At 51.3% G+C, this 26511-nt stretch overlaps 1 protein-coding gene across 6 annotated transcripts, besides 2 other annotated features; it reads right to left on the reverse strand.

Moving 5' to 3' along the window:
- On the reverse strand, positions 296-17567 carry CSF3R (colony stimulating factor 3 receptor). Of its 6 annotated transcripts, none has more exons than XM_047446753.1 (18): positions 17064-17567; positions 15731-15790; positions 14240-14333; positions 13686-13769; positions 9630-9926; positions 8017-8140; positions 7688-7875; positions 6770-6939; positions 6491-6644; positions 6319-6392; positions 5686-5899; positions 3905-4093; positions 3409-3510; positions 2328-2474; positions 2075-2215; positions 1811-1904; positions 1483-1564; positions 296-1161 (listed from the first exon to the last, which is right to left on the reverse strand). In XM_047446753.1, the coding sequence occupies exons 4-18, from the start codon at positions 13747-13749 to the stop codon at positions 610-612; spliced, it is 2592 nt and encodes an 863-aa protein (XP_047302709.1). In that variant the 5' UTR covers positions 13750-13769; positions 14240-14333; positions 15731-15790; positions 17064-17567; the 3' UTR covers positions 296-609. The 6 variants fall into 6 exon arrangements, with proteins under 6 accessions (XP_047302709.1, NP_758519.1, XP_005270550.1 ...); NM_172313.3 differs by lacking the exon at positions 14240-14333 and having other exon boundaries at positions 296-453; positions 874-1080; positions 17064-17166; XM_005270493.1 differs by lacking the exon at positions 14240-14333 and having other exon boundaries at positions 296-1080; positions 1483-1561.
- Positions 481-1343: an enhancer, noted in NCBI's record as "H3K27ac-H3K4me1 hESC enhancer chr1:36931829-36932691 (GRCh37/hg19 assembly coordinates)". NCBI's record gives its function as "activates a minimal SCP1, AML or CMV promoter by ChIP-STARR-seq in naive H9 embryonic stem cells {active_cell/tissue: H9 hESC(naive)}" and the evidence as "EXISTENCE:reporter gene assay evidence [ECO:0000049][PMID:30033119]".
- Positions 15069-15854: an enhancer, noted in NCBI's record as "H3K4me1 hESC enhancer chr1:36946417-36947202 (GRCh37/hg19 assembly coordinates)". NCBI's record gives its function as "activates a minimal SCP1, AML or CMV promoter by ChIP-STARR-seq in primed H9 embryonic stem cells {active_cell/tissue: H9 hESC(primed)}" and the evidence as "EXISTENCE:reporter gene assay evidence [ECO:0000049][PMID:30033119]".

Genomic DNA, 26511 nt, shown 5'->3' on the forward strand with positions numbered 1-26511 from the left:
CCCGTGTAACCCATGCCACTGTGCCCTAAGGATCAGTTTTCAAGTCTCCACCACTAGAATGCAGCTCTCTGAGGGTGAACTGAGCTGAGTCGTTTGCATAGGGCCTAGATACTGAGAGCTAGCAGAAGGAAGCAAGGGAAGGAAGGAGGGAAGGAAGGAAGGGAAAGGAAGGAAGGGAGGAAGGAAGGGGGGAAGGAAGGGAGGGAGGAAGGAAGGGAGGGAGGAAGAAAGGACCAACTCTGAGAAGTTTCCCCCTGACTGCTGGGCCCTGAAAAATAAATAACAGAGACTCAGGTACACCCAAGAGTGTCTATAAACAACAACAAAAACTGCAAACCAAAAACTAGTTTACAATACTGAAGTTATAGGAAACAAGCACAAAAGGCCATTGGGTGGGGCTGGATGGAGCATGATCTGGTCCTTAAAGTATGCAGATCGCCTGGGAGGCCCAGCCTATGGAGATTGGGAGGAGAGGGAGATGCTGGTGACTGGAGATGGTGAGAGCCTGGGCTGGGGTAGTTTTTAGTCATGGGCTTATGGACCCTCCCCTCTTCTCCAGCTAGCTCAGGCCTTTAAGAGGCAGGCCCAAGAAGGGAACCCCAGGAAGCCCTAGAAGCTCCCCAGCGCCTCCATCCCATGGACCCGGATCCCCTGCAGGAGGGGGAAGTTGAGCAGTGGCCCAAAGACACAGTCGTCCTCCTGGCTTGGGGCTGGGGTTACCAGGGTCCCCAAGGGGCTGGCCTGGAACCAGAGGTTCTCATAGGACTTGGGGCTGGGGGTGAGGCCCGCCAAGAGGGGCTGAGTGGAGTCACAGCGGAGATAGTGCCCTGGCCCTGGGCTTGTGGGGCTGCCCAGCAGCTGCCCATAAAGGACCTGATCGCTGGTGCCAGACTGGGATTGGGGCTGGGTGGAAACTGCTCTTGGGTCCCCCTGGAGCACATAGGTCTGGACCAGAGTGGGGAGGCCACAGGTCTCTGAGCTGTTATGGGACTCCCAGGGCACCGGCTTCTTTTCATCCTCCTCCAGCACTGTGAGCTTGGTGATGGGTGGCGTGCCAAGGCCGGGCAGCTGGAAGGCATCCTGCACACAAGGATGTGGGGTGAGAGCACGGCTCATTTCAGATGTCTGCCCCAGCCACTGTCCCTGTCTGGGTCCGGGCAGCTGTGGGGACATTCAACTGTTGTTACTGGTGGAACACAAAGGGTACCACTTGCAAAGCACTAGTATGTTCCTCACACATGCCTGACACATGCCATGCACCGTTCAGACTCAGCATGGTCAGTTTTTCCATATCACAGGGAGGTGACTGAGGCTTTGAGATGGACAGAGGTGGGATTCAAAGTTGGGTCTGCTTCAGTCCAAAGGGACGAGATGTTGCCGGAAGTGACAGGAAGGCCTGAGTACTTGGCTTCAGAAGGTGTCCCTTCACTGAGCCTGGGCCGACATCCCCATCTCATTTCCCTCTCCCTCCTGGATTCTCACCTCCTCCATGATTGTGGGCACCCAGGAGCCCAGGCTGCTGTGAGCTGGGTCTGGGACACTTGGCCAGAGGGGATTCTTCCTGCTGGAGAAGGGGGCAGGTGGAGGCTGAGTCAGACACACCCTCCGATCTTTCCATTTTTTGTCCCACCCACCCCACCTGAAGAGGTGCAGCTGCCCTTAGTGCAGAGAGAAGAAGCTGGGGGCTGGGACTCTCAGACATGGGCCCCAAAGTTTGGGAAGGCTGGAAGGGACTTAGATGGGCCCATCTGGACCTGAGGTTCCCTGTGGGTGGGGGAAGCAGGATCTCAGGTCTCTCAAAGGGACTCACTTGGGGCTGCAACAGAGCCAGGCAGTTCCACAGAGGCAGGTGAGCAACAGCAGGAGGCCGAACAGGCCCAGGATGATGTGTAGCTCCGACCCCTCTGCAGTGAGGGCAGGGCCGGAAGAAGTTAGAATGCATGTTGGGAAGGCTGGGTCTCCTCCCTCCGACCAGGGGATTCAAAGTCAGTCCCCAGCTACTCTCAAAATCAGCATCCTTTGGGTGGGGTACCCTCCAAACAGCCATCTCTGCCCAGCCCCCGTCTCCCCTTACCTGGGGTCAAGGTCATCAGGGTGAGGACTGTACTGTTGGTGGCCCCAGCCTGGCTGGCAGCCATGAGGTGGATGTGATACAGACTGGCGGGCTCCAGGCCATGGAGGACAAAGCCACGGGAGGAGGCATTCAGGATGGCGGCTGGGAGGGGTGTACGGTCAGCATAGGCCTGGATGGTAAAGCTGCCTCCGTGGCAGCTGAGCACCCCCTTCCAGGCCTTCTGGGGCTGTGGGGGAACTGAGGATAGACTCACAGAAGGACTGGTTCTGAGCGTTGGTCCAGAAGATGGTGTAGTGGGTAAGGGGGCTCTTCCCCAGCTCAGGGGGCTCAGGCACCCACTCCAGCTGTGCCCAGGTCTTGCCAATGTGCTTTAGATGCAGCTCTGGGGCATGGGAGGGAGCTATGGGAAGAGAGAGGTGCGGGGGCTGAAGGGAGTGGGGCAGAGCAAGAGCCCGGTTGGACTTCTTGTGGCTTCCCAGACACTGTGGGGTGGGTGAGAAAAGAGTCCAAGGGGACTCATGCCCAAGCCTCATTTTTCCCAGGGATTTAATCCAGATTCCATCTACTGCTAATAAGTGTCTGAGCCAGGATTTGAACCTGGCTCTGCTTGACTCTAAAGCCTCACTTTCTGATTTCTACCAGGCCTGATTTCATCTGATTTACTCTCTGATTTCTGCCACTCACTCTCCGAATTTATGCCAGGTCCTCTGTCCAATTTCTTTTTGTTTTTGAGACAGGGTCTCGCTCTGTCACCCAGGCTGGAGTGCAGTGGCGCCATCTTGGCTCACTACAGCCTCGACCTCCTGGGCTCAAGCCCTCCGATCCTCCCACCTCAGCCTCTCAAGTAGCTGGGGTTACAGGCATGTGTCACTGCACCCAGCTAATTTTTGGTTTGTTTGTTTGTTTATTTATTTATTTATTTATTTTTCTGTAGAGACAAGGTTGCCTAGGCTGGTCTCAAACTCTTGAACTCAGGGGATCTGCCTGCCCTGGCCTCCCAGAGTGTTAGGATTACAGGTGTGAGCCACTGCACCCGGCCCCTCTGTCCAATTTCTGTTACATATAACACCTTATTTTTGTCTGGGAAATGGTTTGATTTTTGCCAGGTTTGCTCCTTGAATTGTGCCAACTCCCTACTCAATTTCTATCCCAGCACCTGATTTCTGTCCAGCTGTAGGGATCCAGTGTAAGCCAGGGGATTGGGAGAGATCCTCTCCAGGGCTGGAAGTATGGTAGGAAGGCAATGTTCCCTATACTTCTGATTGCTGGGGACCAGGCAGAGCCTTGGGAGAGAGAGGAGAGGATTCTGGAAAGGGGCCTGATAGTTGACAAACCCATTTCTTGAGAGTAGGCATAGACATGCTGGGAGGGTCCCATGGTGTCCTGGTACAAGGGAGTCACGATGATCTCATAGAGCTGAAAGGGCCTGATGTTCTCTGTAGAGAGAAAATGGGGTAGGCACTTCTGTTAGGGCCTAACCTGTGCTAATGATCAGGAGCTAGCCTCAGACCTCTAGTGAGGGCTAACCTGGCCTCATGATTCAGGGTTAACCTCCACAATATCTTCTTTAGATCATTTGATGAGAATTAGGGAAGAAAAGTGGAAGAGAGAGCTAGAAGGGTGGCAGAGTCAGGGCTATAGAAAAAGGATCAGGTTAGACTGTAGGAAGAACTTCCTGATTATGAGGATATGAAATGAGAACAACGAAGGATCAAGAAAGGCTGGAGAATCCATGTCTCTTGGGCAGTTCAGGTTGTCCCATGCCTATTGTCAGATAAGCACTGCCTCCCTTTGTCCCTGGCCCTGCCCAACTTTCCAGGCCAGCCTCACCCTTCAGCAGAAACCCCGTGGCTCTCCCATTCTGTTCCATCCTCCAGGTCTTGTTGCTATTGCTCGCGCTGGGGGGGCCCAGGCCCCACTCAATCACATAGCCCTGAGGCCATGGATTGGGGGGCTCCCAGCCTACCCAGAGGCTGTGAGGGTCTCGGGCCATGGCATGGAGTCTGGTCAGAGCTGGGCCTGGAGACAGGGTGGGAAATGGTGGAATGAAGGTGAAAAGAATGCAGGCCCTTGAGCCAGAAGCCTGGGTTCAAATCCTGGCTTTGCTATTTACAGGCTGGGTGACCTTTGGTAGGTCAACATCTTAGCCTCAGTTTCCTCATCTGTAAAGTAGAAATGATGATAAAAGTTCCTAACTCATAGGGTCTTAGTGCAGATTAAATGACTTGATGCACGAAACAAGCCTGGCATAGCGCCTGGCATGGAGTAGTTCTTGTTAGTGATAACAGCTAACACTCTATTGTTCTTGGTATGTGTCAGGCGTAGTCCTTGATATATTTTATTTTATTTTACTTTACTTTACCTTACTTTATTTTATTTTTTATGCAGAGACTTGCTCTGTCGCCCAGGCTGGAGTGCAGTGGCGCCATCTCGGCTCATTGCAACCTCCACCTCCCAGGCTCAAGTGATTCTCCTGCCGCAGCCTCCCGACTAGCTGGGATTACAGGCAACCGCCACCATGCCCGGCTAATTTTTGTATTTGTAGTAGAGATGGGGTTTCACTATGTTGGCCAGGCTGGTCTTGACCTCCTGACCTCAGATGATCCGCCCGCCTCAGCCTCCCAAAGTGCTGGGATTACAGGCGTGAGCCACCATACTGGACTCCTTGATACATTTTAATTCACTGAGTCCTCTAATAGTCATACCCAGGAAGTACTACTCTTTTCCCCATTTTACTAATGAGAAAACTGAGAGACACAGAGAGGTTAAGAAACTTGTCTAAGATCACACAGCTAGTAAGTGGGAATATTAGCTATGATTATTGTTATTGTGATTATTAGTCCCACCTTGCGAGGACCAATGTTTAGGGAAAGCAGTGGGTGGTGGCAGCTGATTTCCTGAGAATGAGCAATGAACTCATAGACCAGGTTCCAAGTGGAAAAGCCTGGGGCTTTCTCTCTTGGCTTTCTTGGCAGAATGGGCTGTGAGTGTGTGTGTGTGTGAGAGAGAGAGCTTAACCTGGTCTGGCTAATGATAATAACAACAGCAGACACATGCAGAGCAGTTACTTTGTGCCAGGCACTTGTCTTAACTCATGTACACCCCATGGCACCGCTCAGTAGGTGCTGTTATCATCCCCATCTGCTGGATGTGTAAACAGAGGCCGGGGATGGGAGGTAACTTACTCAGGTCACACTGTTAGCAAGTGATAGGACTCGTTTTTTGTTTTTTTTTGTTTTTTTGAGATGGAGTCTCCCTCTGTTGCCCAGGCTAGAGTGTAATGGCGTGATCTCAGCTTGCTGCAACCTCTGCCTCCCAGGTTCAAGCAATTCTCCTGCCTCAGCCTCCGGAGTAGCTGGGATTACAGGTGCCCGCCACTATGCCTGGCTAATTTTTGTATTTTTAGTAGAGACAGGGGTTTCACCATGTAGGCCAGGCTGGTCTTGAACTCCTGACCTCGGATGATCTGCCCACCTCGGCCTCCCAAAGTGCTGGGATTACAGGCGTGAGCCACTGCGCCCGGCCAATAGGACTAGATTTAACCCAGGCAGTCTAGCCTTTGAATTGATGCGCTTGACCTCTGTGCTCTTCTGGCTGCCAGCCCCCTTTACCTCTGCTTTCTGAGAAGACCACCGGAGTGGGACGAGAGGTCCCGGCTGAGTTATAGGCCACAAGGGCCACCTCCTGGGCTTCTGAAGGCAGGTGGAAGGTGCAGCTGAGCTCTGTGGTGTTGCAGAGGGGCAGGATGGCCCCAGCCTGGCCTGAGGGTCTCCAAGAAACCACATAACCTTGGATCCGTCCGCTGTCTTCCTCCAGGGGCACTGGCTGTGGGGCACAGGAGGAAAAAGAGAAGGGGATGTGCAGCTCATCTTGAGTCAAGGAGAGCCTCTAGGTGGGGTGGATGGATCATACAAACGGAGCCTCCCCAGGCTGGGGTCCAGGCTTCTCACCCCCCTCCCCTTTTCCCTCTGTTCCCTTGTGCTAGGTTCTAGGAAGGAGGGCAGGAAGAAACAAGTTGGTGGACACAGCAGGCTCTTAACTATTCACTGAACCACACTGTGACGTGCGTTACAGTCTGTCCAAAAGCTAACTCAGCTCCCTAGGCACATGCAAAGTGCATGCAAATCACATATAAATGCGTCCACGCCTCCCAGACCTGTTGGAGTCCTAAGCCCCGGTTTGTAGGGATCTGTTTGGACTGCGGGAGGTGTCGAGGTGGAGGGATGGCCTTCAGAGGGAGTCACCTTCCAGAACAGCTGCACTGTCCTGGGGTCCAGCTGCCTCTGCCGCCACCATGTGTCCAGTCTGACAGTGGGGGCTGTGGATGGAACAAGAAGAGGGGGTGCCAGTTGGGGAGGGGCCTGGGGCCTGGACTGGATACTGTTGGCTGCTCCCAGCCTCTCATCACCTCCTTACCCCGTTCGGTAGTTCTCAGCTCCAGGCTGGGGCTCCAGTCGCTCCAGTGGCCAGGCAGGGGCCAGCGGATGCAGCGTATCTGCAGGGTGTAGGCCGTGGCTGGGAGGAGCCCGCAGAGCTCATACTGAAGGGCCTCCAAGGGGAGGGGGCCCACCTGGTGAGGGGTGGACAGGACTCTGAGCCTTGGATCGCTGGGCCATTCTAGGGCCAGCTCGAGCCCGACTTACCCTGCCCCCTGCCCCCACCACCTCAGGCTCTCCAGGTTGCCCTCTGCCTCACCAGTGCCCAGCTGGCTTCTCCACGCTGCGGCTTGTGGCGCAGCTCACACTTCTGATTTATGTGCAGGCCTGGCTGCCATGGCTCCCAGCACAGCTGTAGGCAGCCTGCCTGGGGAGGGGCCGCTTCAGGGCTGGGGTCCATGGTCCGCAGCATGGGGGGCTCCAGTTTCACTGCAAGGAGTGGGGCTGTCAGAAGGTCTCCCTATCCCACCCTAGAGGGCTCTGCCTTAGCTCCCTCTTGTCTCCCTGTCTGTGGTTCACCATCTGTCCACGTTGCCAATGACACGTTTCTGTGGTTCGATCTCTATGTGTCTTTGTTTCTCTCTAGGTCTCTGTTTCCGCTCTTGCCCCAGGGCCTTTGCACTGGTTGTTACTTCTGCTTGAAATGTTTTCCCTCCAGATATCCAGCGGCTTGCTCCCTCATTTCCTTCAAGGATCTGCTCAATTGTCACCCTCTTAGTGAGGCCTTTCTTGACCAGCATATTAAAATAGCCAGTGCTCCCCTTCCCCCCTCTCTCTCTATGCCCTTCTCCTCCTTTAATTTCTCCTTTCTGCTTATTGCTATCTGAAATTCTATCTTATTTTCCCCCCCACTTGAATCTAACATTCTGAGGGCATTTTTGATGCTTTGTATCCCCAGTACCTAGAGCAGTGCCTAACATGTAGTGGGTGCTTTAGGAAACACGCTGAAAGCATGACTGAATGTGTCTCTTTGCCTCTGTGTCTCTTCCTGTCTCTGGGTCTGTGTCCCCATTTCTCTGTCTCCAGCTGCACCTTTCTTTGTCTCTGTCCCTCTTCTGTGCCTCTGTCTCTAGGTCTTCCAGTGTCTTCTTGTCTGTCGCTAGTTCTGTGTTTCCCTCTCCATTCCTCTCAGTGTCTGCCCATTTTGGGGATCCCCTCCCTCCCCTGCATCACCCACCAACATCCATGGGATCAAGACACAGTTGTGGGGACATGCTGGTCCCCAGCGCATTCTCTGCCTGCACCCAGATGCCCATATTCTGGTACAACAGCAGGTGTTTGCGTGGGATGCAGCAGTGGCTCTGCCCGTCCTTGGGCACGCAGTCCAGGATGGAGTCCCCTTGGGTCTGACAGTTGCCCCGGCTCCTGCCAATAGTCCAGGCTTGGGTGCCAAGCAGAGGAAGAAAGCGAGGCTCCCTTCTCCCTCCCAGAGGCATGCCCAGCATCCTACCCATGCCCTACCCCAGAATCCAAAGGGAGGGGACCAAGGTGGGGGCCCCTCCTCACTTGAAACTCTTCAGAGTGAAGCTGGTGGGTAGGTGGGTCTCAGGTCCTGGCTCCCACTGGCAGATGAGGCTGCTGGTTGTGAGGTTCATGAGGCAGGAGAGGTTGTGGGGTATGGCTGGAGGGTCTGCATGTGGGTGGGAAGAGTGTGAGGGCTTTGGGTGGGACCACTCAGAAAGCTTCCTCTGGGACCAGCTGGCCCTGTTGCCTTGCCCTGGCTTGGTTCCTCTGTTGTCACCTTGTCTGTCCCCCTGTCTCCAGGCAGAGTGGCTCTGGAAGGGCAGCCCTGGGGGAAGCTAAGTTGCAGGCATGCACCGGGGCAAGCATCACAGACTCCCAGCAGCCCAGTGGTGGCCCACTTCCAAGGCCCCCAACTCTAGACCCTTTGTCAGTGACAGTGTAGTGTTTGAGTTTTCATCCTGGTCCTGCCATTCATTAGCCCTGTGATCTTGAAGTTATTTAACTGCTCCATGCCTCAGCATCCTCATCTGTAAAATGGGGATAATGGTAAAATCCCACCCCCTAGCGTTATCACAAGGGCTAAATGACTCACTCTACATGAAGTGCTCAGAACAGTGCCTAACTTACAGGAAATGCTATGTAAGTGTTAGCAGTGGCCATTACTGGTGCTTTTTTTTTTTTTTTTTTTTTTTTTGAGACAGAGTCTCACTCTGTGGCCCAGGCTGGAGTGCAGTGGCGTGATCTCGGCTCACTCGGCTAATTTTTGTATTTTTAGTAGAGACGGGGTTTCCCCATGTTGGCCAGGCTGTTCTCAAACTCCTGACCTCAAATGATCCACCTACCTCAGGCTCCCAAAGTGCTGGGATTACAGGTGTGAGCCACTGCACCTGGCCCATTACTGATTCTTAAACAAGAACCTCGGTCTTTGTTTTTTCCTTATGCCTCAGCTTGGCACAAACTCCATCCTGCTCAGTTTGAAAGGAAGTTTGAAACTGGGGTGGGGGACAAGCCCAGCTGGTAGAGGATGTTCTCCCTGGAGACACCCTCAGATGGCTGAGGACTTGGGCTATGTAGAGTAGTGGTCACAACACTGGCTTTAGAGCCACACTGCCTCCATCCTTATTAATGTGTGATAAGGGCAAGTCACTTACCCTCCCTGAACCTCAGTTTCATCATCTGCAAAGTGAGGCTACATAGTAGTACCAACTGGTACTACTGTTACCTGATATCATGCCCATAAAGTGCTTATTAGATAAGAGCTCAATAGGTAGTACTCTTTTTTTTTTTTCTTCTTTTTTTTGAGACCAAGTTTCGCTTTTGTTGCCCAGGCTGGAGTGCAGTGGTGTGATCTCAGCTCATTGCAACCTCCGCTTCCTGGGTTCGAGCAGTTCTCCTGCCTCAGCCCCCCGAGTAGCTGGGATTACAGGCACCCGCCACTATGCCTGGCTAATTTTTTTGTATTTTTAGTAGAGGCGGGGTTTCGCCTTGCTGGCCAGGCTGATCATGAACTCCTGACCTCAGGTGATCCGCCTGCCTCGGCCTCCCAAAGTGCTGGGAATACAGGCGTGAGCCAACGTGCCCGGCTGGTAATATTCTTATTAGTATTGGCAGGAGGGTGTTGGAGGCAGAGTAGTTGGATGGCTGGAAGGACTTACAGCCTGCGCGCAGCTCAACCTGGTCCAGGATCTGCAGGCTGTTGCCCCAGTTCAGGCAGCAGGAGAGAAAGGCCTGAGTGTGGTTGAGGTGGGGCAGGGTGATGATAGATTCCTGGGTCCCATCAGACAGACGCTGCTGCCTGCCCCCGGGCTGAAGCTCTGCTCCCAGTCTCCACAGAATCTGTGGCTCCGGGTCCAGATGGCTGCAGTTCTGCTTGATGATGCAGGAGGCTGTGATGGGATCCCCCAGGTGGACGATGGGGGCTGAGACACTGATGTGCCCGCACTCCTCCAGACCTGGGGTGGAAGAGAATGGGCCAGGAACGACGCCTCTGCCTAGCAGAGCTGGGCTATAATCTAGGCCTTTGTACTCCTAGACTCAGAGGCCTCACCTTCCTGTCTCACCCTTCAAGATATGGGGGCTGGAAATGGAAGGATGGGGACGGAGACTTCGAGAGGCTACGGGGGTGACACAGAGATAGTGATGTGCTGGTAACCGTTTATCAGCCAGCTTGGCAGAGAAAAGCAGACCCTGGTTTGTAGTGTGTGCCTTTCCGCGGTGTAAGTGCTCTCACTGTAGCTGATTTCAGCCTATTGATGTGACATCATTGATCGGGGAGTTGGGAAGAGATGTGCACAATTAGTTTTTGCAAGCCAGCACCAGCACACCACCAGATGGAGACTGTTAACTCCCCAGTGCCCTCCCCAAGGATGGTGCAAGCAGTGATTAGAGTGATAAGAACCCATAGCCACAGCAATCTTTTCACAATTCAAATCTGATTCTGCTACCCCATCTCCATCGCAGCACTTCAATGGCACATTATTGCTCTGAAAGGCAGTGTGGTGTGATGGATGAGTGTGGATGTTGGAACTAGACTGCCTAGGTTTAAATTCTGGTTCTATTGCTTATTAATTACATGATCCTGGTATATTTCTAAGACTTCCTGTGCCTCAGTTTTCTCATCTGTAAAATGGGGATAAAAATCGTCCCTACCTTAGTGTTGCTGGAAGGATTACATGCGATAACATATGGAAGGCATTTAGAGCAGTGTCTGGCATGTGAGTATTTGCTGCCATCATTAGGATAAACACTCAAATCCTTCAATAGCTCCTGTGGCCTGGCCCCTGCCTGACCCTCTCAGTTCCAGCTTATACCGGTCTCTCAGCTCCAGCTATTCTGGCTCATTCTTGCTATTCTTTGAAAACTCCAAAATCTTTCTAATCTCTGGATCTTTGTCCCTGCTGTTTTTTTTTTTTTGTTGTTGTTGTTTTGTTTTGGTTTTCTTTTTCTTTTCTTTTTTTTCTTCAAGTTCTTGCTCTGTCACTCAGGCTGGAGTGCAGTGGCACGATCACGGCTCAGTGCACCCTTGACCTCCTAGGCTCAAGTGATCTTCCCACCTCAGCCTCCTGAGTAGCTGGGACTACAGGTTCATGCCAGCACACCTTGCTAATTTTTTGATTTTTTTTTTTTTTGGTAGAGATGGGGTTTCACTATGTTGCCTAGGCTAATCTTGAGCTCCTGGGCTCAAGCAATCCTCCTGCTTCAGCCTCCCAAAGTGCTGGGACTACAGATGTGAACCACTGTGCCCGGCATGCTGTTCTTTTTGGAGGGACTCTTCTTTCTCTCTCCCACCCCTGTTTCACCTGGTTAACGCTTAGGCATCTTGAAGAAACCAGACCAGGCACTAACGAACTGGAGGAGGCCAAGGTCCCTGTACTTCCTCAAAGCTCTTATTATCCTTCATAATTATAGAGTCTTATGATTATTTACTTATCTATCACTCCAGCTAGACTATAAATTCTGTGAGGCCAGCAGACCTTGGCTGTTTGCTTATTACTGTATTCCCAGTGCCTAGTACAGAGTAGGACCTTGGTGAATATTTATTATTATTATTATTTTGAGAAGGAGTTTCGCTCTGTCACCCAGGCTGGAGTGCTGTGGCACAATCTCGGCTCACTGCAACCTCCGCCTCCCAGGTTCAAGCGATTCTCCTGCCTCAGCCTCCCGAAAAGCTGGGGCTACAGGCACGCACCACCATGCCCGGCTAATTTTTTTTTGTATTTTTAGTAGAGATGGGTTTTCACCATGCTGGCAGGCTGGTCTCGATCTCCTGACCTCGTGATCCACCCGCCTCAGCCTCCCAAAGTGCTAGGATGACAGGCATGAGCCACTGCGCCCGGCCGATGAATTTTTTTTGATAAATAAATAAACAAACAAATCAACATACACTTTGCCCGCAATGCTTTCTGTCCTCTCTCAGGTGTTCTTAGGCCCGTTTTACTGATGGGGATGCGAAGGCCCTAAGAGGAGAAGCAGTTTGCCCAGGGTCACAGAGCAAGTTCATGATTCTCAACAAAGGGCTTCTACTGCTTCACAGGCTCAGGATTTCTTTTTTTTTTTTGAGACGGAGTCACTCTGCTGCCCAGGCTGGAGTGCAGTGGCGTGATCTCGGCTTACTGCAAGCGCCGCCTGCTGGGCTCACGCCATTGTCCTGCCTCAGCCTCCCGAGTAGCTAGGACTACAGGCACCCGGCACCATGCCCGGCTAATTTTTTGTATTTTTAGTAGATACAGGGTTTCACTGTGTTCACCAGGATGGTCTCGATCTCCTGACCTTGTGATCCACCCGCCTAGGCCTCCCAAAGTGCTGGGATTACAGGCGTGAGCCACCGCGCCCGGCCCAGACTCAGGATTTCAGGCTGGAAGAAACTTTACAAGGTTGTTTGCTTCAAAACTCTACCTGATGCTCTGCCCTCTACAGCAGGGCTTGAGTGGCCTATTTTTGTATAGCCTAACAACTAAAGATGTTTCTTACATTTTAAAAGAGTTAAAAACAAGCAAAGCAAAAACCAAATAAAAACATGCCACAGGGCTGGGCGCGGTGGTTCATGCCTGTAATCCCAGCACTTTGGGAGGCCGAGGTGAGTGGATCACCTGACGTCAGGAGTTTGAGACCAGCCTGGCCAACATGGTGAAACCCCATCTCTAGTAAAAATACAAAAATTTGCAGGGCCTGGTGGCAGGTGCCTGTAATCCCAGCTATTCGGGAGGCTGAGGCAGGAGAATCGCTTGAACCCGGCAGGCGGAGGTTGCAGTGAGCTGAGATCCCGCTACTGTACTTCAGCCTGGGCAAGAGAGTGAGACTCCATCTCAAAAAACAAAAAAACAAAAACCAAAAAACATGCAATAGGCAGGGCGTGGCGGGTCATGCTTGTAATCCCCATACTTTGGGAGGTCAGGGCAGGTGGATTGCTGGAACCCAGGAGTTTGAGACCAGCCTGGGCAACATGGCAAAACTACATCTCTACAAAAAAATACAACAACAAAAAAAAATTAGCTGGGTGTGGTGGCATGCCCTGCACTACCTTGGAGGCTGAGGCGGGAGGATCACTTGAGCCCAGGAGGTTGAGGCTGCAGTGAGCTGCGATTGTGCCACTGCACTCCAGCCTGGGCAACAGAGGGAGACCCTGTCTCACAAACGAACAAACAAACAAACAAACAAACAAACAAGGAACAGAGACAGTATGTGGCCTGCAAAGCCTAAACATTACTGTCAGAAAAAGTTTGCCAACCCCTGCTGCACAGCATCTTTATCAATCCTGGCTTTAGCTTGCATACCCCTGGGGATGGGAAGTTCTCTACCTCTCAAGACAGAGTTTCCATGGTTGGAAACCAAGCTCTGCCTGGGCTTCTTTATTTCAGGATGAAACCTGTCCCCTTGTAGCTTCCATCCTGATCCCTTTGCTGCCCACCAAGGCTGCATAGGACCCATGGGTTGCTTCTGACAGCTTGGTAGAGATTTGCGGACAAGATCTGCGCCTCACTGGCCTTTTCCAGGATGACCAGCCCGGGTCGTCTCACCATTCCTCTTGGGTGGTGGTTTGCCTGTGGAAGTCTGTGGGTGGGAGACCAGCTACCCCACATCTGTGGCTCAGACTTGAATCTTGTGGGATTCTCTGGGAATCCCAGGAGCCATGTGGCAGTGCAAGGAAATTCCCAATATCTCTCCTTGTAGCTTCCCCTCCCCACTGCACCCTCATCCTTGGCCATACTCACTTCCGGGGAGCAGCAGGATGATCAGGGCAGCCCAAGTCAGGCTGCAGTTTCCCAGCCTTGCCATAGCACCAACTTGATGTTCACCTGTAGGCAGAAGGGTTGTTTAAGACCATGGGCTTTGGAGTCAGAGCTGATCTTAATCCTTGTCTGTCACTGTGCAGCTTTGACTAGGTTGCTTGACTTCTCTGAGCCTTCGTTTCTTTGCAAAATGGAAGTAACAGCAGCCTATACTGCATGGGACTTTGAGAGGAAGACACAAAATGATGCAAGTCAAGGGCTTTTCACAGTGCCTGGAACATAGGAAATGACAGTGACAGCCACAGTTATTATACTTGCCTTCCAGGAAAGAGCAGGGAAAGGAGCAGTGAGGAAGAGCATTCTTCCGCCTTCCCAGCTATCTAAGCTAGGCTACCCCTAGAGAGCAGAACCTGAGATGAGGAATTGCATGCTGGTAGTTTATTTTGAGAAGATCCTAGCAGCAGATAAGGGACTGGGGAGAATGAAACAGGGAAGGAGAGAAAGCCAGCACAAAGTTACATCATCATGTTGGTCACCTCTATGGACAACTGGGGCTCTATCCTGCTGGAACCTTCCAAAGAGCCATGTAGAACACTTCTCAGAGCTGTCCACTGGAGGGTCAATTTATCCCTTGGATGGGAGGGAAGATGGAAAGATTTACCCACTGACTCCTGCCCCCCATTGGTCAAGGGATGCCTCTTGGGGTGTTCATTCCCTGGCACATCCAGGTTGGGCATGCATGAGTACTAGGCAGGTTCTCCTGGGGAAGCCATGCCAGTGTTGTCAGGGACACTCCCTGGAAGAAAGGGAGAACTCTATGGAGCAGCTGAGGCAAGGGGCTGTCAGGTTATGCCTGCAGGAAGCTGGCTGCCTCAGCCATGTGGGCTGAGAGAATATCAAGTGGGGCACCCGAAGGGTCCAGTGTGCCCCCAATTTTGGGCACAGACCTCTGGTGGCCTTCTGGGGTCAGGCATCATGAGGTCACGGCCATAGCACCTGGATGGAGGGTGCCTTGGCTCCAGTCTTAGGAAGTATGCAGAGGTTTCTACCACTTGGGTGGGTGTCCAGCCTCATCTTCACCCTGCTCCCATTGGGGTCTTGGAGCCAACACCTGATCCTCCAGCACGAGTTGGTGCTCTTGGTGGCAGATCAGTGGGAATCGCTGGTCAGCTTGCACGTACATATCTGGACACATACACGCAGGTGGTGTCCCAGCAGATCCCTCGTGCTCAGCAGGGAGAAAGGTAGGAGAATCCTTTTCTCTTCCTCCCAGACAGAGGTGTGGATAAGAACTGCCCAGATACCCAAGGTTGTTACTGCTCACAGGGGTCTTACCCAAACCCCCAGTCTATCCATGTATATATTGCAGTATCGGAATACCCAGTGACTGCTAGCCCGTAAGTCTCCTTTGTGCAAATCAGAAAGAAAGCACCCCTTCCTCTGGATGGATGCAGCACCACACTAGGACCTGGCAACTAGGGAACAGCCTGGATTTCGGCTCCAGTTACTCCTCAGTTTTGTGCAGTGAGAAACCTGTACAAGTATCCCGAGCATCTGTCTACCCATCGGTGGTTGGTAACCTTCTTACTATAGCATACCAGTTTGATTATCCCCCCGCAACACTGGTTGGGGAAGATTTAGCCTCCAAGGCCCAGATTTTGGGACACTGGTTTTCATCTCCATGTGCTTTTGATCCTATCCCAGCCCTGTTGCCCTAGCCAGGGTCAGCTTCAGGCCCAGCCTATGCCCCGTGCAGTACCACCCTATCCGCCTCCACTGGCTCCTGTCCAGAGTAGACAACCTAACCCCAAGAGGCCCCGGCATCCTTCCCCTGGGTGCTGGGTGTTGGCCTGCTTGGCCTCAGTCTCTGGTCCTCCACTGCAGCCCTGGACGTCCCCCAGCCTGGTTAAGTGGGCCTAGGACCTGTTGGAGCATGGTCTCACTCTCTGGGGGGCCGATATGCAGAGAGGTTTGGAGCCCAGCTCAGATTCAGGTCACCTGACTTGATCTCCAGCTCCGCCACTTACCAGCTTTGTGATCTTGGACAAGTTACTTCACCTTTCCGAGCCGAGCCTCAGTTTCCCCATCTGTGGGAAAGAAATAACATTAGCACTCACTCCTCAGCGTTGTTGTGAGGATGAAATGAGATTATTTTGGTAAAGGCATTTAGCCCTGTGCCTTGCATGGAGTTGGCACTCAGCAACCATAGGTTATTTTCACGAGCCATAAATAGCAGGTCAGCAGCTCACAGAATCCAGCACAGTTCAGTTTTCCCCTCACCCCTGCCTCCCTCACAGCCTGTGTGGTCACACCTCCCAGGACTGCCACCTTGCTTTTGTCTGTGCCACACTGCGCAGTTCCAAAGCCCCCTTTCTGGATCCTCTCCTCCTAACTCCTGGGCCCCCTGGCCCTCCTGTCACTGCGGCCATCTCTGCTGGGCTCTGCAGGTGCTCACTCCTGTGGCCCAGCACAGCTCGATGTCTCCTGGGCTGGCTGCCTTCACATTCCCTCTTTCTGTTTCTCCCTCATCACGCTCAGCCCTCTCCCCTCACACTCTCTTCCCCACTTCACACCCCTCGCTCCCTTGCTGTTTCTACTCTCACCTCGAGATTCTTTCTGTGGGAAGGGTGGGGAGGGAGGAGGGGGCTGGGAATAAACAGAGGGGAGAGGCATTTCCAGATATGCTGCAGATAAAGAAAAAGAGAGAGCAACAGGAAGAGTGACAGAGTGAGGCGGTGACTGAAATCCACACAGACTGAAACGACAGAGAGACTCGCCAAGAGGACGATTGAGGCCAGAGAGATATCGAGAGACAGAGAAAAAGGGCCCAATGTACGCCGACCCAGAGAGTGGGCGGGGGGGGGGCACTCGGAGGCCTGGAGCCCGGGAAGCGTCTGTTACCGAGAGTTTAAGATTCAAGAGATAGCAGGAAATATGCGAGACAGAGAAACTCAGAGAGATAGCAAGCCAGAGAGAAGCTGAGGAGGAAAGATGGAAACAGAGAGTGAAATAGAGACCCAGACGGGGAGGGGTTGCGCGGCTGGAACTCACAGACACACACGTCCTGAGAGACAGAGGCATGGGGAGGGGAGAATGATTATGCCTGTCCCCAGCCCAGCTCAGTGTCCCCAAGGAGATACTTGGCTGTGAGTGACTTCCCTGGTGCAATACCCCCAAAAGTAGGGGCATCCTGTGAAAAGAGACTCAGTGTCCAGGGCTGGGGTTCCAAAGGACGAATCCCGGGCCCCAGGCCTAGGACCCCGGACATGAACACTTGGCAGAGCTGTGGGGAGTGGCCCCAGGATTCCAGCTCTCCATCAAGCCCAAGGCTCAGCCCCTCTCTAGGGATCCCCTACTCACGTTGGCACCTCTGGCCCAGCCCCTGCTTGGCCTCCTTGGTCTCTCTTCTCGTCAAGAGAAGTTCCTGAAACCAGCTGCAGTCCAGCTTCTCTCCCCGAGCTCTGTCGTTAATGGCTCAGCCTCTGACAGGCCCGGGGGCTGGGGATTGCAACACCTTCCGAGCCTCCCTCCTGCCCTCCCTTGCGCCTTCGAGGGCACAGGCAGCCCCTTCCTCCCAGGAAGGAGCCTGTGAGGGAAGCTGGTGAGGCCCGGGCAGCCTTCCTGCCTTGGGGGTCTTAAAGGGCTGGGGAATGTGGCAACGATGTCCCCCTCCCCTGCCTCCGGATTTCCTGAGCTCAAAGCTTTGAGGCTGGGCAGGGCCCAGGCTCCCACCTGGCTGGGTGCCATCCTTATGCCCCCTGCCCTGGGGGAGCATCACTTGGAGGCAGGCCCTGGCTGGAAGGCTCACCCGGCCCTAAGCCTCTTTTCAGCTCTAGCCTTGGGGACCACATCTTCACAGTACTCAGAAGGGTGTGTTCCAGGTTCCAGGGAATTGTGTAACCCAATACTCACTGCTCCCCTCTTCATTACGTATTCTGTGCATTGCCCATAGACCAGGCAGATGGAGAAACAGGAATTCTGGGGGCAAGACAGGAGGACGTCTTGGTGAGGCACGGGGTCTTTATATGTTCACTAAAAATTAGGAATGTTTACCCACAATGGTTCTGCAACACTGAATATTTTGTAATTGAGTGAAATAGACTACATTTTATGTCTTTTATTGTCTGTATTCATGATTCTTCTAAAACTACAAATAATTTTCTTTGCATTTTCTGAGAAAGGTTCAAACTGCTCATAGTTTATTGGATTCATAACCCAAAAAAGGTTAGGTGCCAACAGACCAGCAGACTGTCCTTAACATATAATCCTTTTGAGGCATCTGGGTCTGGTGTGATGCTGCAGACCAGGGCTGTAGTTCTAGTTCCAAGTCAAATGACCTGACTGCCTGCTGCAACCCTCCCAAGATATCCCACAGGCTCTGCTCGCTCAGTGAGTCCCATGGACTCTCTTCTTTCCAAATATAACCAGAATCCTGGGTATTCACTGTAAAGTTCAACTTGGCTCTACGTTTGAATATTTTTATGATAATATTTGGAAAATATAAATATAACTGAAACCAATACTAGCCAGCTCCAAGCTACCCTCATCTATTGCCTAGATAATCGCAATAGCCCCCTGCCTGCTCTCCTGCTTCTATTTCATCCTTGTTCCCGCACCTGTCTGTAATTCCTTCAGCAGCCAGTGCGATATCAATCAAACAGAAGTCTGATCAGCCCATCCTCGTCCCAACCTTTCCAATGGCTCCTGTCTCATTCAGAGTCAAAGTCAAAGCCCTTTGGATGGTCTACAAGGCCCTACAAAACCTGGTATCCCTGTTACCTCCTGGATCCCTCTCCTGTTATTCTCCCCCTTGCTGCCTTGCTCCAGCTACTCTGTGTTCTTTGCTTCTTGAACTTGTTATGCTGTCTCTTGCCTCAGGGCCTTTGCACTTGCTGTTTCATTTGCCTGGACTCTTTCCCCCGCAAATAGCTACATGGGCTGGTCCCTCCCCTTCTTCAGGTCTTTGCTCAAATGTCACTTTCTCATTGAGGCCTTCTCTGAGCACCCTTTTCAAAATTTGCAAGCCCCTTCCCTCCCACTCCCTATCTCTCTCTCCCCCAAATCCCTTTTCACCATCTGATATTGGCTGTCTCAATCCCCACTAGACTGAAAGTTCCATAAGAGCAACAGTTTTTATCTGTTTTGTTCAAAACTTTATCTCCAGTGTCTATAACACTGCTTGCCACACAGTAAGGCCTCCATGCGTGTTTGTTGAATGAATGATCAACTGGATGAATCTTCCCCCACTTCACCAAATCTGTCTCTAATCCCCACGTACCTTGTCATGGTGAATTAACCACCATCCCCTCCTCTCCCTAGTCATGCAGCTCAGGGACTCAGGAGTCATTCCTTACAACCCTTTCTCCACATTCCCATGTCCAGTCAGTTCTTTTAGTTCTTTTTTTTCTTTCTTTCTTTTTTTTTTTTTGAGACAGAGTCTCACTTTGTCACCCAGGCTGGAATGCAGTGGCGCGATTTTGGATCACTGCAACCTCTGACTCCCAGGTTCAAGTGATTCTCCTGCCTCAGCCTCCCAAGTAGCTGGAATTACAAATGCCTGCCATCATGCCTGGCTAATTTTTGTATTTTCAGTAGAGATTGGGTTTCACCATGTTGGCCAGGCTGGTCTTGAACTGCTGACCTCAAGTGATCCGCCCACCTCAGCCTCCCAAAGTGCTGGTTTTATAGGCGTGAACCACCGCACCTGGCCTTCTGGTCATTTTAAATTTATTTTTTATTTTTATTTTCATTCTTTTTTTTTGAGATGGAGTCTCGCTCTGCCACCCAGGCTAGAGTGCAGTGGCGCGATCTCGGCTCACTGCAACCTCTGCCTCCCAGGTTCAAGTGATTCTCCTGCCTCAGCCTTCTGAGTAGCTGGGACTACAGGCACGCACCACCACGCCCGACTAATTTTTTTGTATTTTTAGTAGAGACAGGGTTTTGCCATGTTGGCCAGGCTGGTCTCGAACTCCTAGCCTCAAGTGATCTGCCTGCCTCGGCTTCCCGAAGTGTTGGGATTACAGGCATGAGTCACCGCGCCTGGCCCCAGTCAGTTCTTAATGAAGGAGAATGGGCCTTTTGTTCATCATTCAGAGAACTTGCTCCTGGAGCAGGTGCAGGGACACAATGGTGAGACACAGTTTTAGTTCCTGCCTTTATGGAGCTCCCGTCTCAGCCTTGCCAATGGCCCTGCAATCCTTCTCCTCTCCCTGTCTTTCTTCAGAGGCCCGTCGTCACATCCTAACTCCTGAACCGGACATGCAAGTTACCCTCGCCTCCCTCTCCTGCCTCACCAGCCCCTGCTTCCTCAGATCCAGCCCGTCATGCTCCGGTCATGCCAAATTCACTAGTATTTCCCTGCCTGCCCCAGGCTCTGGAACAACCCTGTGCCTTTCTTCTGCGGAGCGCCTGTCACCTCCTGCTGGCTGAGTCCTGTTCCTGACCCAGTTCAAGCATCCAGCCTGAGCTCAGCATCCCTCTGGGCTTCCACACCTTAGTCAAGCTGAATTAGGGGCCCTTCTCCCCATTCATCCTGTAATACTGTAGTAGGCTGTTGGCCGCCTGCCTCCTCCATTATACTGTGAACTCTTTGAGGGCAGAAACTGTATTCTCACCTCTGCCTCTCTAGCCTCAGTACAGTGCCGGACACACAGAGGATACTCAATGCATATCTGTTGGGCTGCAGAACCTTGGAGATGGTGTTTACCTCTTCCAAGCCTCTGTTTCCTAATCTGTCACAGTGATAATAACTCCTCCCAGGGATTTTGTGATAATTAAATTAGCTATCAGAAATACAATGCCTAGTATGGTAACCAGCGCATAGTAGGTGTTCAATAAAGTTGCTTTCCTTTGTTCCCTTCTGCATAATTCAATATTTAGGAGGGAGATTCTACTATTCTCCTTTGTGCTCCATTCTCTGTTGAGGACCTGCACCAGGAAATGGAGCTGCAGCAGCCAGAATAAAAGTTAGATTTAAGGAAATGAAAGTTAGATTTAAGGAAGAGCTTTCTTTAGAGTGTACTGAGGTTAAGATGATGAGCTGAGGAGTCAGGCTGCTTCAATTTGCCACTTGCTGCCTGTGTGACTCCAAACAAATGTTTAATCTCTTTAAGCCTCGGTTTTGTCATCTGTAAAATGGGGCTAACAGTATTGGCTTCATAGGATTCTTGAGAGAAATCAGTGACCGTAAGGCTTGTGGAACACAGCCAGGAACACAGTAAATGCTTAATAAGTGTTTACTATGGTGCACTGAAGAGCACAAGACAGACGAGGAGTCATCCCCTCTACCCGCACCCAGTGTCGGCTTTGTGGATACTTCCTCTTCCAGCTGTCCTGCCTCCCGCCCCTCCTCCATCAGACAAGGCCTCTGTGTGTTGGAAACCCTGGGTAAGGGAGTGCTGGTGAGGGAACCCTATTCTTGGCAGCCTAGCTACTGAGCCCCGAGTTGTTTCTGTTTCTGTTACTGCCTGTGATGTGTGGGGCTTCTGGGTAGGTCAAGGAGCAGCTTGTTTCAGAGGGGCCGGGGCGGGGTCCAGGTGGGCAAGCTGGGGTGAGTGCCCGGAAGTTGAGGCTGTGGTGCTCAGCTGCCAGGGCCGGGGTTGGCTGGAATACAGCAGGCAGCTAAGATTGTGCAAACAGGTCATTGTGCAAACGCGCCCCTGTGTGTGACCTCGATTGTGCAAACAGGTGTTTACTGGAGGCTGCTCCGCTTGGACAGCCCACTTACAAAAAGCCCTTGAGCTGTTGACTTAGAAAGAAACTGGACACTCCTTCTTCCCTGAACCCACCCTGAACTTTCCGCCTCCTGGCCTTTGCTCAGGCTGTTCTCTCTGCCTCGAGTGCCCTCCCTCACCTCCACCTCAACTTGCTGAAATTCTACTCATTCTTCAAGGCTCAGAGAAAATGCCACTAAGTCTTTTTTTCTTTTTCTTTTCTTTTTTTTTTTTTTGAGACAGAGTTTCATTCTTCTTGCCCAGGCTGGAGTGCAGTGGCGCGATGTTGGCTCACTGCAACCTCCTCCTCCCAGGTTCATGCGATTCTCCTGTCTTAGCCTCCCAAGTAGCTGGGATTACAGGCGCCTGCCACCATACCTGGCTAATTTTTGTATATTTAGTAGAGAAAGGGTTTCACCATGGTGGCCAGGCTGGTCTCGAACTCCTGTCCTTAGGCAATCCGCCTGCTCGGCCTCCCAAAGTGTTGGGATTATAGGCGTGAGCCACCGCACTGGGCCACTAAGTCTTTTTTCATAAGCTTTCTCCTCATTTGTAGAGTGTGTCCTGTGGTATACCTTCAGTGTCCTGATGATGTTTTACCTTATGGCGCTTTCCAGATCTGTAACTTCAAGGATCTTTCCTTATTCATCCCTGAAAGGTTGGGAAGCTGAGGCCCAGAGAGGGAACGTGACCTGCTCATGTCCCACAGCCATTTTGAGGCTGAGCTGGGCTCTAAATAAGGCTTCTGCATTTTCTGCCACACTCACCACCACTCTTTCAGGCCCCATCCACCTCTGACCTCGGACCTTTGCTCTAACCACTTGGTTGAGGTGGGAACTGAACAGATGGGTGGGACTTGTATGGAAGAGGGGAGGTATGCTGGGCAGGGGAACAGTGAGAACAAAGACATGGAGGCTGGAATGGGTGCCATAACAGAGGTAGAAGGTGGCCCAGGCCTGGGAATGACGGTGGTGGTGGTGGTGGGGAGGGAAGGCCTGCATTCTAGACCCACAGATGATATTGATGCTGCATGACCCTGAGTAGCACCTCATAGTCCTGCCTCTCAGACCCCCAGCTCCCCTTGAAGCTCCACACACATCAAAACTAAACACGCCTCCCAGCTGAGCTCCTCCATGTTTTCTCCTAAAAACCTGCTTTTCTGTCCTGGTGAATCCAGAAACTTAAACTGGTCCTGAACACCTCCCTGCTGGTCACCCCCTACATCCAGTCTGTCGCTCCTTCCAGTGCGATTTGTCCCTTCTCTCCCACCTTATGGCCCCTGCAGGAAGCCAGTCCATCATTGTTGTCTCCTTGGATGACGTCTCGGCTTCCTCCTGGTCTCCCTGCCTTCATTCCTGGGATACACCCTTGCTATACTTAGCTGGAGTGCTTCTTCCAAATTGTGAATTCCAGTATGTCACCACCCAACAGAAAATTGGCTGGACGCTGTGGCTCATGCCTGTAATCCCAGCACTTTGGGAGGCCAAGGCAGGTGGATCACCTGAGGTCAGGAGTTCGAGACCAGCCTGGCCAACATGGTGAAACCCCATCTCTACTAAAAATACAAAAATTAGCCAGGCGTGGTGGTGGGCACCCGTAATCCCAGCTATTCGGGAGGCTGAGGCAGGAGAGTCACTTGAACCCGGGAGGTGGAGGTTGCAGTGAGCTGAGACCATGCCACTGCACTCCAGTGTGGGTGACAAAAGCAAAACTCCTTCAAAAAATAAAAAAAAAAGGCATCCATCCATTGGTTCCTCGCTGTCCATGGGCTAAATTTCTAAGTCTTCCTCATGTCCTTTGAGGCCCTTCAAAACCAGACCCTGAAGGGGTGGCCTGCCCCTCCACACCTGTGGGTGTTTCTCATCGGACTGACAAAAGAGAGAGACACAGAAACAAAGTATAGAGAAGGAAAAGTGGGCCCAGGGGACTGGTGCTCCAGAGGACCCGCGAAGGCACGGGTCTCTGAGTTCCCTCAGTATTTATTGATCATTATCTCTACCATCTCTGAGAGGGGGTTGTGGCAGGACAGTAGGGTAATAGTGGGGAGAGGGTCAGCAGGAAAACATGTGAACAAATGTCTCTGTATCATAAATAAGGTTAAGAAAAAGGTGCTGAGCTTTGATGTGCACATACATAAACATCTCAATGCATTAAAGAGCAGTATTGCCACCAGCATGTCTCACCTCCAGCCTTAAGGCGGTTTTCTCCTATCTCAGTAGATGGAACATACAATCGGGTTTTACACCGAGACATTCCATTGCCCAGGGAGGAGCAGGAGACAGATGTCTTCCTCTTATCTCAACTGCAAAGAGGCCTTCCTCTTTTACTAATCCTCCTCAGCACAGACCCTTTACAGGTGTCGGGCTGGGGGACGCTCAGGTCTTTCCCTTCCCACGAGGCCATATTTCAGACTATCACATGGGGAGAACCCTTGGACAATACCTGGCTTTCCTAGGCAGAGGTCACTGTGGCCTTCTGCAGTGTTTTGTGTCCCTGGGTACTTGAGATTAGGGAGTGGTGATGACTTTTAACAAGCATGCTGCCTTCAAGCATTTGTTTAACAAAGTGCATCCTGCATAGCCCTAAATCCATTAAACCTTGAGTCGACACAGCACATGTTTCTGTGAGCACAGGGTTGGGGGTAGGGTTACAGATTAACAGCATCTCAAGGCAGAAGAATTTTTCTTAGTACAGAACAAAATGGAGTCTGTTATGTCTACCTCTTTCTACATAGACACAGTAACAGTCTGATCTCTCTTTCTTTTCCCAACATTTTCCCCTTTTCTTTTAGACAAAAACACCATTGTCATCATGGCTTGTTCTCGATGGTCGCTGTCTCTTCGGAGCTGCTGGGTACACCTGCAGACTGGGGCCTGCCTCTGGGGAAGGATTAATATGAAATTTACAATAGTAGTACTTCCGATGGTCTTAACCCACGTGACAGGGTTAAGATTTGTGAGGCCATCAGCAACTCCCGCGATTACCTCAGTTCCTGGTACCAAATTTAAATGGGCTTTTGATGCTTCGAAAATTTGTTCTTTTAATTTGGAAATGTCTAAAGTGGGATTATCTTCTCTTCCCTGCAGATGGCGTCTAACCATGTCCCAGTGATGCTCAGACTCATTATAAACTCGGGGTGTAATACAAAAATCTGATGTATCCCAGTCACACTGTAACTGGAAACGATGTTCTAGGCTCATGAGCCTATCTCCCATCAGGATTATCCATCCATGTGACTGCCTGAATTAAGGGCGGGAAAGGCACATAGGCCCAGTAGGTATAATTAGCTGCAGCTGCTCCTGCAGGCATGGGGAGACTTACCACAGTTGATACAATCATCAAAGCTGCAAGCAGCATGTTCTCTGGAGTTTGTGTCACCTTTGTGTTCTCTAGGCTTTTTTTTTTTTAGTTAACTGTGTCAGCTTCTTTAATTGTGCCCAAGTCGGCGCCTCCACCTTCTTGGTGGATGGCAACTTCATCTGTTCTTCTGACATCACCATTCTGTTCATCTTGTGAGTTGATGGTGCTTGATTGCAGTGTCTCCGTCTCCGTGGAGGCGCTTTTCTTTGCATCTCCAATGGGTTCATTGTAGAACTTCAAATGTCTAGTGGGTATCCAAACAGGAAGCTGATTTTCTCCTGGTGAAACACAAGCAAAACCTCTCCCTTACGTTACCACCTTCCCTATTTCCCATGTCTTATTTTTGTTGTCTTTCCACCAAATCAGTTTTCCTTCATATGGGCTCTTCTTTTTAGTAAGATGTTGTTCTGCAGAAGTAGTAGTCTGATTTCTATAAATGTTTAAAAAATTTAAAGTATAGAGGGCTAGATTAAGTTGCATCTGAGGAGTGGTACACTCCTTACTGTCTTCCCCTTCTTTCTGTTTAACTAATTGAGTTTTGAGTGTTCTATTAGTTCTTTCAACTATGGCCTGTCCTTGGGAATTATAGGGAATTTCTGTTGTATTTAGGTTGCAGTGAGCTGAGACTGTGCCACTGCACTCCAGTGTGGGCGACAAAAGCGAAACTCCTTCAAAAAAAAAAAAAAAGAAAATCATCCATCCATTGGTTCCTCGCTGTCCATAGGCTAAACTTCTAAGTCTTCCTCATGTCCTCTGAGGCCCTTCAAAACCAGACCCTGAATCCTTCCTCACCCTGCAGCCTCATCTCTCTCTCTTTTTTGTCCAGGTCCTAATCCCTGGAACCTGTGAATATGTCACCTTACATGTCAAAAGAACTTTGAAAATGTGATTAAGCTTAAGGATGTTGGGATGAGGAGATTATCTTGGATTATCTGGGTAGATCCAAGAGCCTCATCTCTTGATACTCCCTTTCCCAACTCCTCTTCTTCATTTTTAAAAAAATTAATTAATTTTTTATTTTTTTTGAGACAGAGTTTCGTTCTTGTTGCCCAGGCTGGAGTGCAATGGCTCAGTCTCGGTTCACTGCAACCTCTGCTTCCTGAGTTCAAGCGATTCTCCTGCCTCAGCCTCCCGAGTAGCTGGGATTACAGGCATGTGCTACCACGCCCTGGTAGTTTTGTATTTATTTATTTATTTTTTGGAGACAGAGTCTTGCTCTGTTGCCCAGGCTGGAGTGCAGAGGTGCAATCTCGGCTCATTGCAACTTCCACCTCCCGGGTTCAAGCGATTCTCCTGCCTCAGCCTCCTAAGTAGCTGGGACTACAGGCATGTGCCACCACATCCGGCTAATTTTTTGTATTTTTAGAAGGGATGGGGCTTCACCGTGTTAGCCAGGATGGTCTCGATCTCCTGACCTCGTGATCTGCCCGCCTTGGCCTCCCAAAGTGCTGGGATTACGGGTCTGAGCTACCGCGCCTGGCCCTCTTCCTCTTCATGAACCTGACACTTCAACCATTCCAGTTACTATCATCGTCTAATCATGTGCTGCTTTTTTCATGGCTCCAGGCCTCTTCTCATAGTTTCCCTCTGCTTCAGAATGTCCTTCCCTTATTTCTATGTCTGAAGAAATCTCTTTCATCCCTCAAAATCCAGCTGGCATGTCACCTCTTCTGTGAAGGCTTCCCAGATTTCCCAGGCTGCATTAGGCGTTGCTCCGAGATGCTCTGTGAAGCCTG

The sequence above is a fragment of the Homo sapiens genome, chromosome 1 (assembly GCF_000001405.40).
Source record: "Homo sapiens chromosome 1, GRCh38.p14 Primary Assembly".
Classification (NCBI taxonomy): Eukaryota; Metazoa; Chordata; class Mammalia; order Primates; family Hominidae; genus Homo; species Homo sapiens.